General features: G+C 44.2%; 1 protein-coding gene across 10 annotated transcripts in view, besides 5 other annotated features; it reads right to left on the bottom strand.

Moving 5' to 3' along the window:
- The window catches only part of PRKAR1A (protein kinase cAMP-dependent type I regulatory subunit alpha), a 137,694-nt gene that overhangs the window by 36,804 nt on the left and 88,117 nt on the right, over positions 1 to 12,773 (bottom strand). For 2 of the 10 annotated variants that reach the window (NM_001369389.1, NM_212471.3), the window contains exon 1: positions 2,371 to 2,513. The exons of 1 other annotated variant lie outside the window; for it this stretch is intronic. The gene's annotated coding sequence lies outside the window, so the exon portion shown is untranslated. Of the gene's footprint in view, positions 1 to 1,534; positions 2,135 to 2,370; positions 2,514 to 12,773 lie in introns of those variants that run through there. 7 more of the 10 variants (NM_001276289.2, NM_002734.5, XM_011524984.4 and 4 more) reach the window with 5 other exon arrangements.
- Positions 1,613 to 2,122: a silencer, noted in NCBI's record as "silent region_8904". NCBI's record gives its function as "represses an Ori minimal core promoter by ATAC-STARR-seq in GM12878 lymphoblastoid cells {active_cell/tissue: GM12878}" and the evidence as "EXISTENCE:reporter gene assay evidence [ECO:0000049][PMID:35858748]".
- Positions 1,613 to 2,902: a biological region, named in NCBI's record as "H3K27ac hESC enhancer GRCh37_chr17:66508045-66508618".
- Positions 2,036 to 2,609: an enhancer, noted in NCBI's record as "H3K27ac hESC enhancer chr17:66508045-66508618 (GRCh37/hg19 assembly coordinates)". NCBI's record gives its function as "activates a minimal SCP1, AML or CMV promoter by ChIP-STARR-seq in naive H9 embryonic stem cells {active_cell/tissue: H9 hESC(naive)}" and the evidence as "EXISTENCE:reporter gene assay evidence [ECO:0000049][PMID:30033119]".
- Positions 2,193 to 2,282: an enhancer, noted in NCBI's record as "active region_12650". NCBI's record gives its function as "activates an Ori minimal core promoter by ATAC-STARR-seq in GM12878 lymphoblastoid cells {active_cell/tissue: GM12878}" and the evidence as "EXISTENCE:reporter gene assay evidence [ECO:0000049][PMID:35858748]".
- Positions 2,543 to 2,902: a silencer, noted in NCBI's record as "silent region_8903". NCBI's record gives its function as "represses an Ori minimal core promoter by ATAC-STARR-seq in GM12878 lymphoblastoid cells {active_cell/tissue: GM12878}" and the evidence as "EXISTENCE:reporter gene assay evidence [ECO:0000049][PMID:35858748]".

Raw genomic sequence — 12,773 nt, 5'->3', positions numbered from 1 at the left:
GTAAAGTAAAGCAAACAGAGATAATGATGAGCAGCTAACCTTACCCTAGAATTAAAAGTTTACTAATTTAACAACAGGGTCATATACTGTTTTCCTTCCAACTCCTAATTACTAAGCACTTAAGAGTAGAAGACAAGAGTGTGGTCCCCTCCACTCAGCAACTGAATTCAATACTAATCAGACTTTTCCAATTATAATGCATTGTAAACTATTGAGATGAAACTGTAAATTTAAAAGAACTTATAGAAAGAATTAACAGAGTAAAGAGCTATTCTAAAGTGCTACACTGTTACTCATTTTGTTTTGACAACTTTCACCATAAAGGTCAACAACAAGTAGACTAATTAACAGACCATTAGAAAGTTCGTGGCTCCAAGACAAGCACATAAATTAGAAGCCATGGAAAAATAATCATGCTGCTACTTTAAACAGGCAAAACAAAAACAAAAACGCGCATTTACTTTAGGATAGATTTATACAAGCCACTTCTCCAGGTCAGGCAATCATATGAACTGAAGATCCACTTCAGTAGAATTGTCTGCATTTCAAATAATACTTAAAGGCCACCAAGAACAATCATAAATCAGATCTTTCATGCTTCAAAGCATTGTCATATTTTAAGAACATTCAAATGATCAATCATTCTAAGATCAGGTCTTTGGCTGGTAGAGATGAGAGAACTGGGCCTAAGGAGTGAAACTGTGTTTTTGTTTGAAACAACTAATGTATTACGAAAACCAAAAAGATAGCCACCGGTAATAGGACAGTATACGAACAGAAATGTACCAAAATTAATGCAGTCACCATGTAAATCCCTGAATAACCAGACTTCACAGTCTTAATATTTTTAATCGAGTTACCCGGATTCTCTATGTGTACTTATTTGTAAAGCCCAACAACCTAGCCTTCCCTCCCCACACACAATTATTTAACTGCTTTAAAACTTTCGCTGCATTGTCTCTATGTAAAACAAAACACTCAGATTCATTCTTTTGAAAATTCAGTTGTGACAAAATTGTTTCGAAAGGATTACATTCTGGGAAATAAATAAAAACACTTTGAGAAACTGTTCCTGATTCAGACCGCACCCCCTTAGACCAGCCAAGTTACGGCTCCCCTAGGGTCATCTTGAGTAAGTGTTTGCTTTCCTCGCTCTGCTAAAAAGACGGATCTCTTGGGAATCTCTCAAGGAGTAGGACGGTCGTCACCACAGGCTCTGAGCTGAAGAGGTTAATAGGTACCGTGTATTTTCTAGAAGAAGGGCAGGAAAATGCCCTTCACTTCACGTAGGCCACGGTCATGACCACAAAATGAAGGGAAGCCGAGACTTCAAGCTACGCCAGTCGGAAGGCCACAGTGGTGGCGAGGAGGCCTCAGGGGGGCAAAATTGGGAAAGGGAGAGAGGTGAAAGGGGACAAGAGGAAATTCAGGAGCCCGACTAAGACCGTCGTGTTGGGGGAAAGATCACTCCGCTATGAAGAGGAAAGGCTACTGCTAGCAATGACGAGTCGTCAAAAGTGGAGAGGAAAACTACCGGCTTACAAGAAGAGCCAGGACCGGCGGACGAGACGATGGCGGACCCCAGTAAAATAGAGCCGTTGTCCTTCAGGAAATGGGGGAGGGTGAGCGAAGAGGCCGCGGCGCGCGGGGGCGAAGGCGGCCGGGGAGGGCCGCGGAGGGCCCAGGGCCCCAGGAGCCGTGGGGTGGGGGCAGCGAGCGCGAGCGGGGCGGCTGGGGAGCCCCGCACCAAAGCCAACGCCCAGACGGCCTTGAGGATGCAGACTCGGAGCCGGGGGCGTGAGGCCTGCGGGGAGGCGCCCGCCGGGCCGGGGAGGGGCAGGGGGTGCGGCCGTCCCCCTGCAGGTCGCTCCCCGTGACGCCATCTTGGATCGGTCCAGCTCCCGCAAACCGGCTGCGAAGCGACGAAGCTCACCTCGCCTGAGCCCCCGGCCGACCCCACTCACCTGGGGACGGGCGGCGGCGGGCGCGAGGCTGCGGGTGCGAGGCGGCGGCGTACCGAGCTCCCTCAGCGCTTTGCTCCCAGCCCCGCTCCACTCTGCGATAGCGGCTAGGCGACAGCTCCACCGGAAACGGCCTGGCCGCAGCCAATCAGCGTTCGGCTACTGACGTCAATGCGCCTCGCTCTGGCCAGAACCGTCGCCTTAGCAACCTTAAGGGCGCAACAGCCCCAGTTCCTCCCCCCTGGTCGCTCTTGGAAGGACCCTCACTCTGCGGTCGTTCGTCTTCCGCCATTCTTTCCATCTTACTCGTCCCTTATCCACAGCAGTTTCCTCACGCCCGCCACTTCTCCTTTCCGCAGTCTCCCTAGCCCGGTTCTCTCCTCCTTCCTGCTCACCTGCCCCTCCTTACCTGTCCCTCTCTGGGTGTCTTGGGTCGCCTTTGTTCCTCCGCCTGCTCTTCGCTCTCTCTCCGCGCAGCTATCGTGCGCTTCCCTCTCGTCCCTCCGCTCCTCTGTCCACCCCACTCTCCCTCCGGCCTCCCTTGACGCCTCTGCCTTTTCTCCCTCCTTTCCACCCCCTCCCTGGCCGACCCACGTGGGGCGTCTCAGATGACAGGTGGGCGACTCCTCCCCGCAGCCCCTGCAAGGGAGGGCCCCGGGCCGGGGCGGGGAGAGTCCTGTCGCTGCCAGCCCCCGGAGGAGGTGGCGGCCCCCGCGGATCTGCAGCAGCTGCGCTGCGGGGCCGAGCGCGGGCGGATGGCCGGGATGCGCTCTCCGGGCCGCGCATCCTGTGCCCGGCCAGCGCCGCCCGGGCCCCGGGCTCAGGTCAGTCATCCGGTCCAGGAAACCTGAGCCCTGCCGAGTCTCCGCTGGGGCCGCTCTCCCCCGCCGGGGGTGCTGTCGTCTGTGCAGGCAACACCGTCCCTGTGGAAACCAGGCACGGGAAAGGACTTTGTCAGGGTCCAAGAGGAGGCCTGAGTCCTTCTAGAACCTGAAGTGCCCCCCCATCACTCCTGACCTCACAGAGGGAGAAGTGCAGAGCGTGCAGATTGTCAAAAATGCCCTGTGACCCAACAAGAAATCGCAGCTGTCCAGACAAGCTGCACTAATGGGGAAAATTCGGAGGAAAAGCGACTTTACTCTTTCAGCCATTTTTTTTTTCCATCAGAGTATCTGTCTAAGGAGGAAGAAAAGGGAGACGGTACAATTTTAGACACATCAAGTCTGTAACTCAATAAAGAAGGCCCATCAAGGAAACATGTCCAAGTGTCTGGCTAGGGGCTGCTTTAGTAGCATTGTATATATTTCTAGGGCCGTGTGCTTAAAATTCATAATGGATTCAACACAATACAAAAAAGCAAAATACACACATATGCAAGTGTCCAGGAGCTGTTGTAGTAACATTGTATATACTTCAAGGGCTGTATGTTTAAAGTAAATCATGAACTCAACACAATACAAAAAAGTAGCTCAATAGTGTTTATATTGATTCCAGATTGAAATGATAATATTTTTGATATATTAGGTAAAATATTAAAGTTAATTTCACTTTTGTTTTTTAATTCTTAGTGTAGCTATTAAAAAGTTTAAAGTTACACAGATGGCTCCCATTATATTCCTATTGGGCAGCGCTGCCCTCGGAGGCCGACTGCTCCCCCAAATCCACCAGGCTCTAAGGGTACTGTCCATCAGATGATTTATTTAGTTATGTTATTCACTGCCTTCTGATAGGGATACATAGGCGATATCAAAAGGGCAATCAGGCTTACAGGGGGGAATGGAAAAGGGAAGTTTCTCCTTTCACTGACTCCCCAAATGTTGACCATTGGCCCTTCTCCAGGGTTGATCAGAAATGGGGATAAAAGAGCCTCAGTCAGATAGGATTTCACTCTTGACAGTACAAAGAAGGGTTGATAAACTGAACCCTACGCTGGCAAGCAGCAGAGGGAATTTGATAGCATTGAGCAGGCCCGGTCATGTTATGGGAAGAAAATATTGCAGTCAGGTAAATCTGAGTTTGGTTTCAGGCTCTGCCATGTCCGGTAATTGACTTAATCTCCATGGGTGTCCGTTTCCTCGGTCATAAAAGGATGAACAGGACTTTGTTGAAGTTAACTACTAAGGGTATAACAGCAAACACACGTATAGCACTTACTGTGTTCCAAGCACTGATCTAAGGGCTTTACACATAATTAATTTAATCCTCATAGTAACTCTTAACATAGGTAATATTGTTATTGTTACAGAAAAAAACATGAGACATGGAGAAGTTAAGTGACTTGCCCATGGCCACACAGCTAACATGGCTTAAACCCAGGCAGTGATCTTAATCACTCTCCATTGCAGAATAGATAGATCTCTCTCTCTCTCTCTCTCTCTCTCTCTCTCTCTCTGTCTACATATATATATATGGTGTTCAGTACAGTGGGGGATATATTAAATGAATGTTAATTTACTTCCCATTTCTCCCTCTTCCTGCAGAGCTACCCAAACTACAAGGTTAAGTCAGAGTGACACTATGTCCCACCATTAGTGTTACCTTCCAAGTGCAGTTAAGACACTAAGAATAAGGAAACAAGCAAGCTGCTGACATTGAGCTGAGCACTTTGAGTGACAGCTGCTTCCTTGCTGAGTCCTGGCTGTGTGTCCCCATTCAGCTGCATGCAGGCGCCAGTCCAGCCACGGGCCATTTCCTGTGTCAGTCACACTCAACCTTGTTCTAGGTGCCAAATCCTCATATGCTGGGGCTTTAGGAGACATAAAGGGAAATGGGCAGTAGACAGTTGAGCCCGGGGAAAGTTCAGTGAGACAGCTGTTCTGAAAAACTAAATAGCCTCAGTGCTTTCCAAATGGTGCAAATGTTCTTTCAGTGCCACTGTGCCACTGTGAGAATACCAACTTGTTGGTATTCGTAAATTATGTTTCAGAAATGACATTTGTTCCACTGTAGTTTCTGTATGGTTTCCCTTCTCCAGAGGCCTTCTGCCCTTGATTCAAAGGTCTGTTAGCCTTTCCTTTGGACTGTGTCCTTGAGAAACTCAGTTTAAAAATATGTTTCTAGAGTAGTGGGATTATAAGTAAATTTTCCTGTTTAACTGGTGGCTAACATCTGTAATCCCATCACTCTAGGAGGCCCAGGCTGGAGGCTTCCTTGGGCCCAGGAGTTCAAGACCAGCCTGGGCAACACAGTGAGACCGCCGTCTCTACAAAAAAATTTTAAAAATTAGCCAGATGTGGTGACCCACGCATGTACTGGGAGGATTGCTTTAGCCCAGGAGGTCAAGGCTGCAGTGAGCCATGATCGCACCACTGCACTGCAGCCCTGGCCACACAGCAAGACCTTCCCACTCAAAAAACGAAAAAGAAATTGCATAATTGCTGTTACAATGCTTGTGAAACAATACCAAAAACCATAAAAGCAAAATAAACATGAGTGATAAGCAGAAATAGAATTAAGAAAGCTAAAACGTGAAAGGAAGGAATACTTTGGTGGTCCATTTCTTGGTGGTTCTTGCACCTAAAGTTTCCATTGGCTAAACACAGATCCACGTATTTCCAATTTCAAAGTCCATCACCACCTACTTATGGTGTACAATGGTACTGAGTACTTATACTTCCTAGGAGACCCAAAGTTGTGGTTTCAGACATAACTAATTCCAGCAAACACCCGAATGCCAAAATGTCTTCCTACTTTTCTCACTGGCAAATGCTCATTTAAACTAAGGAGGGGTGTTTATCTTGAGCATTAATTGAAAATATTAACCAAGAAACCAGAAGGGTGGCAAACTTGGATCTAACACTAAAGCGTTCCAAGTAAAAATATCTTAATCTAAAACATATCTTCATCAAAAATAGCATATTTACTTATTCATTCAACTTTTATTTTAGATTCAGGGGTACAGGTGCAGGTTTGTTACCTGGGTATATTGTGTGATGCTAAGGATTTGGGTACAAGTGATCCCATCACCCAGGTAGTGAGCATAGTACCCAATAGTTTTTAAATCCTTGCTCCCCGACTCCCCCTTCTAGTAGTTCCAGGTATCTATTGCTGCCATCTTTATGTCCTTGAGTAATCAATGTTTAGCTCCCACTTATAAGTGAGAACATGCGGTAGTTTTCTATTCCTGTGTTAATATGCGTAGGAGAATGGCCTCCAGCTGTATCTATGTTGCTGCGAAAGACATGATTTGATTCTTTTTATCACTGAATAGTATTCCATGGTGTATATGTACCACATTTTCTTTATCCAGACTACCACTGATGGGCATTTAGGTTGATTCCATGTCTTTGCTATTGTGAATAGTGCTACAATGAACATAAGCATGCATGTGTCTTTATGATACAATGATTTGTATTTCTTTGGGTATATACAGTCCAAAATCTGCAGGGCAGGTCAGCAGCCTAGACCCAAGGAAGAGTTGATGCTGCAGTCTCAAGTCCAAGGCAGAACTCCTTCTTCCTCAGGGAACCTCAGTCTTTTCTCTTAAGGCCTTCAACTGAGTGAGGCCCACAAACATTAAAGAGAGTAATCTGCTTTACTCAATGTCTATTGACTTAAATGATAATCGCATGTACAAAAAAAAAATACATTCACAGCAACATCTAGACTTGTGTTTGACCAATAACTGGGTAGCATGGCCTACCCAAGTTGACACAAAATTAATTATCACAAGCATGTATTCAGTGAAGTCCAGATATTTGTATGAATCTCTTCTAAAATGTTCTTCCTTTGAATACTAATCTCCTAGGCCTAAGCTGTTTTTAAACAAGGCTGACCTTTTGTCATGGATTTGAGGCTTTAAAAAATAGGGATGAGTCAGTCACCCACACAGATCTTTTTTTTTTAATGTGAAAAGATAGTGGTTTCCTGTTTTTCAGATGTATGTATGTTTGTTTGTTTTTTAATTTAATTTAAGTTCGGGATACATGTGCAGAAGAACGTGCAGGTTTGTACATAGATAAACGTGTGCCATGGTGGTTTGCTGCACCTATCAGCTCATCACCTAGGTATTAAGACCCACACGCATTAGCTGATTCTCCCCCTCCCTGCCTCCCCAACAGGCCCCAGTGTGTGTTGTTCTGCTCCCTGTGTCCATGTGTTCTCATTGTTCAGCTCCCACTTGTAAGTGAGAACATAAGGTGTTTGGTTTTCTGTTCCTGTGTTAGTTTGCTGAAGATAATAGCTTCCAGCTCCATCCACATCCCTGCAAAGGACACGATCTCATTCCTTTTTATGGCTGCATAGCATTCCACAGTGTATATGTACCACATTTTCTTTATCCAGTCTATCATTGATGGGCATTTGGGTTGATTCTATGTCTTTGCTATTGTCACACAGATCTTTGTGTCATGGATGGTATGATCGTTGACTAGGATCAGTAACTTTCTTTGTTTTTGTCAATCTGACAAAGTCAACAAATCTTGTTAATGTATCCAGGTTGGCACTGTACTGATCATGTACCTATACTCTTCCAGGAATTCTTCATTTTTTTCTTTGCTGGAGGCTGGTCATGGTTCCCTTTGAGAAGCTCATGAAAACAATGGGCTTTCTCCCCAGGAAATAAGCCCAAACAAACATACACACACAGCCTTTTTCATCCCATTTCAAGGTGGTCACAGATCCTGAAGCCCATCCATGTATGGACTCCAAGTTTAGAATCCCTTATAAAATGATTCCTGATCATCCACACTAGTGGATACTAGCAGGTACTAGGTAACAGGCATGCAGAGATAAATAAGCCATGACCTCAAACTTAAAAGTTCACAGTCTGGGCCAGGTGCGGTGGCTCACACCTGTAATCTCAGCACTTTGGGAGGCTGAGGTGGGCAGATCACGAGGTCAGGAGTTTGAGACCAGCCTGGCCAATATGGTGAAACCCCGTCTCTACTAAAAATACAAAAATTAGCCGGGTGTGGTGGTGCACGCCTGTAGTCCCAGCTACTCAGAAGGCTGAGGCAGAAGAATTGCTTGAACCAGGGAGGCGGAGGTTGCAGTGAGCCGAAATCGGGCCACTACACTCCAGCCTGGGTGATAGAGCGACACTCTGTCTCAAAAAAAAGAAAAAAAAAATTTCACAGTCTGAAGGGGCCAGCAATAACATGAGTTCTTTCAATAAAATGGCCAAATTATGGGGGTGGGATTGGGGGGGTACATTGAAAGGGCATCTAACTCAGGCATCAGTGATCAGAAAAAGCCAGCCAAAAAAAGGTGTCTGGGATATAATGGTACCCAGTTAGTCCTGCCTGGTATTTCAGGTAGAGGAACTAATGGGCAAGAGAGCATGGATTTCTAAGGAAAATATTTTTCAAGATGGCCTAAGGATAAGATGGAAGATGGTGTGAGGCTGGAAGAGTGATCAGTGGCCTGTGGTAGGGGGGAGGGGCAGATAGTAAATGCTTTAGATGTTGTAAGCCATCTGGGCACTGTGGCAACTTCTCAGTTTGGTTATTGTATCACAAAAGTGGCCATAGGCAATATGTAAATGAATGGGCGTGGATGTCTTCTGATAAAAATTTATGAACACTGAATTTGAAATTGATGTAATTATCCTAATTAATAGACTTTTGGTTTTAGCAATTCTAGGTTTACAAAAAAATTGGCAGAAAATACAGAGAGTTCCCAGATACCACCTCATCAACCCTCCATACATGGTTTTCCCTTATATTGACATCTTGCATTCGTGTGGTACATTTGTTATACTTGAAGAGCCAATGTTGATACTTCTGTGTGTGTGAAACAGGATCTGGCTCTGTTACCCAGGCTGGAGTGCAGTGGCACAATCTCAATCTCAGCTCACTGCAACCTCCCATCTCCTGGGCTCAAGCCAGTCTCCTATCCCAGCTTCCTGAGTAGCTGAGACTACCGGCATACACCACCACGCCCAGCTAATTTTTGTATTTTTTGTAGAGTCAGGGTCTCACTATGTTGCCCAGGCTGGTCTCAAACTCCTGAGCTCAAGCAGTCCATCCACTTGGGCCTCCCAAAGTGCTAGGATTACAAGCCTGAGCCACCTCACCTGGCCTGATACATTATTATTAACTGAAGTCCATAGTTTACATTAGAGTTCACTCTTTCTGTTGTATATTCTATGAGTTTTGATAAATGTGTAATTACATTTACATCTACCATTACAGCATCCTGTGGAAGAGATTCACTGCCACAAATATCCCCTGTGGTCCACTGTTTATCCCTCTCTCCTTCCCCTAAGGCCCTGATAACCACTGATTTTCGTTTTATTTTATTATCTACATATATATTTTTTGAGACAGAGTCTGGCTCTGCCACCTAAGCTGGAGTGCAGTGGCATGATCTTAGCTCACTGCAACCTCCGGGCTCAAGCCATCCTCCCACCTCAGCCTCCCAAGTAGCTGGGACTACAGGTGCACACCACCATGCTCAGCTAGTTTTTGTATTTTGGGGGGTAGAAACAGGGTTTTGCCACATTGCCCAGGCTAGTCTTGAACTTCTGGGCTCAAGAAGGCCTGCCTTGGCCTCCCAAATTACTGGGATTACAGATGTGAGCCACCACGCCTGTCCAACCACTGAATTTCTATACTTTCTCCCTATGTTTTTCTCTCTATTTTTTATTTGTGTGGGTACATAGAAGGTGTATGTATTTATGGGGTATATGGGATATTTTGATACAGGCATACAATGGGTAATAATCACATCAGGGTAACTGGGGTATCCATCACCTCAAAGCATTTATCCTTTACAATTATACTCTTTTAATTATTTTTAAATGTACAATTAAATTATTTTTTACTATTGTGCTATCAAATACTATGTCTTATTCATCCTTTCTAACTAGTTTTTACCCATTAACCATCCTTACATCCCCTCCACCCTCCACCGCTACACTTCCCAGCCACTGGTAACCATCCTTCTGCTCTCTATCTCCATCAGTCCAGTTGTTCTAATTTTTAGCTCCCACAAATAAGTGAGAATATGTGAAGTTTTTCTGTGCTTGGCCTACTTCACTTAACAAAATGAACTCCAGTTGTTTCCATGTTGTTGCAAATACATCTCATTCTTTTTTATGGCTGAATAGTACTCCATTATGTATTTGTACCACATGTCTTTTTTTGAGACAGAACCTCACTCTGTCGCCAGGCTGGAGTGCAGTGGCACGATCTCAGGTCACTGCAACCTCCGCCTCCTGGGTTCAAGTGATTCTCATGCCTCAGCCTCCCAAGTAGCTGAGATTACAGGTGTGCACCACCATGCCTGGCTAAATTTTTTTTTTTTTTAGTAGAGATGGGGTTTCATCATGTTGGTCAGGCTGGTCTCAAACTCCTGACCTCAAATGATCTTCCTGCCTTGGCCTCCCAAAGTGCTGGGATTACAGGTGTGAGTCACCATGCCCAGCCTTGTACCACATTTCTGTATCCACTCATCTATTGACAGACATTTGGGTTGCTTCCAAATCATGGCTATTGTGAATAATGCTACAGTAAATATGGGAGTGCAGATATCTCTTTGATATACTGATTTCCTTTCTTTGGGGTATGTACCTAGCAGTGGGATTGCTGGATAATATGGTAGCTTTATTATTAGCTTTCTGAGGAACCTCCAAACTGTTCTTCCTAGTGGTTGTACTAATTGACATTCCCACCAACAGAGTACAAAGTTTCCCTTTTCTGCACATCCTTGCCAGCATTTGTTATGGCCTGTCTTTTGGATAAAAGCCATTTTAACTGGGGTGCTATGATACCTCATTGTAGTTTTGATCTGCGTTTCTCTGATGATCAGTGATGTTGAACATCTTGTCATATGCCTGTTTGCCATTTGCATGTCTTCTTTTGAGAAATGTCTATTCAGATCTTTTGCCCATATTTAAATTGGATTATTAGATTTTTTCCTATATAGTTGTTCAAGCTCCTTATATATTCTGTATATTCTGTCTCCATATGTTTGCTTTTTGCAGAATGCCACATAGTTGGAAGCATACACTATGTAGCCTTTTTAGACTGACTGCTTCACTTAGTAACATGCAATTAAGATTCCTCCTTGTCTTTTTGTGACTGGATAGCTCATTTCTTTTTATTACTGAATAATATTCCACTGTATAGATGTACCACAATTTATCCATATTTACTAAAGGACATCTCGTTTGCTTCCAAGTGTTGGCAATTATGAATAAAGCTGCTATAAACATCCATGTGCAACTTCTCTGAGTAAATAGCAAGAAGTTCAATTTCTGGATCACATGGCAAAAGTACCTTTTGCTTTGTAAAAAAAAATTGCCAAACTGGATTCTAAAGTAGGTGTACCCTGTACCATCTTGCATTCCCACCAGCAATGAATGAGAGCTCCTGTTGCTCTACATCCTTGCCAGCATTTGTCAGTGCTTTGGATTTTAGGCATCCTGTTAAATGTGTAGTGGTTCCTCCTTGTTTTAATTTATAGTTCCCTAATGGCATATGCTGGTAAGCATCTTTTTTTGTGCTTATTTGCCATCTGTGAGTCTTCTCTGAGGTGGTGTCTGTTTAGGTCTTTGGCCATTTCTTTTTTAATCCAAAATGATTTTATTATTTTTCACTTTCCCAAAGCTTGTGAGCATGAATGCTTCTGAATCAGACCAATAAAGTCTATATTTTGGTTGAATACATTATTAGACTAACTTGTATGATCAAGTCCAGCTCGATTATCAGAAATCATAGAAGTTAACAATTTACTCTGAGAATCTGTTGCTAATATAGATGATGGATTTCCAATTTTTTCTTAGCTAAGAATTTACTCAACTTTAGCTCAGAACCAGATTCAAAATATCTTTTTTTTTTTTTTTTTTTTTTTTCCTGAGATGAAGTTTCGCTCTTGTTGCCCAGGCTGGAGTTCAATGGTGCAATCTCAGCTCACTGCAACCTCCACCTCCCAGGTTCAAGCGATTCTCCTGCCTCAGCCTCCTAAATAGCTGGGATTACAGACGCCCACCACCAACCTTGGCTAATTTTTGTATTTTTAGTAGAGACGGGGGTTTCACCATGTTGGTCAGTCTGGTCTTGAACTCCTGACCACAGGTGATCCACTTGCCTCAGCCTCCAAAAGTGCTGGGATTACAGGCGTGAGCCACTGTGCCTGGCCCCATTTTAGCCATTTTTTAATTGAGTTGTTTGTTCTCTTGTTGAGCTTAAGAGTTCTTTGTATATTTTGGATAAGGTCCATATAATTTTCATGTGTCACATTCTTTGACTTTTTTTTTCAATAATTTTAAAATGTAAAAAATTTCTTAGCATTTATGCTGCATGAAAACAGGTGATTCAACCCATGAGCCATAGCTTACCAACCCCTGCCTTAGAAGTTTAAATTGTCTTATAGCTGTGGGGATTTACTGAATGGCCTCATGCAGGGAAGAGATGTGACCAAGTGCACACTTTATCTTTTGGGTTCTAATGAAGCAAGGACATGAGTAGGGACTGCAAGGGCTCTCTGGAGTCTGGAGCCTGAACACTTCTCAGGAGTCTGTTGCAATGATCCAAGTAAGGGATGATGATAGCTAAAACTAAAAGATTTTGATGCAGGTGAATGAAGCTGGGCAGATTTGAGAGATATTAAGAAAATAAGAGCGAGAGAACCTAGGGATTGATGTGAAGGATAAGGAGGAGACAGGAAGGACTCAAAGATGATACCTAGATTTCTAACTCAGTGATTCTGCTGCTATTCACTGAATCAGAGAACACAGGAAGAAGCAGCAAGGGTTCCATTTTGGAATGTGTTCAGTTTGAAGGGCTGCTGGACATCCACAAAGAGCCGTCTAGTTGCTTCCTTGCTGGTCGGAAGTTTAAGAGAGCTGAGTTCTGGGCATGGTGGCTC

The sequence above is a fragment of the Homo sapiens genome, chromosome 17 (assembly GCF_000001405.40).
Source record: "Homo sapiens chromosome 17, GRCh38.p14 Primary Assembly".
Classification (NCBI taxonomy): domain Eukaryota; kingdom Metazoa; phylum Chordata; class Mammalia; order Primates; family Hominidae; genus Homo; species Homo sapiens.
Note: the sequence above shows the minus strand (reverse complement) of the source record. Positions and strands in the feature narration are given on the sequence as shown.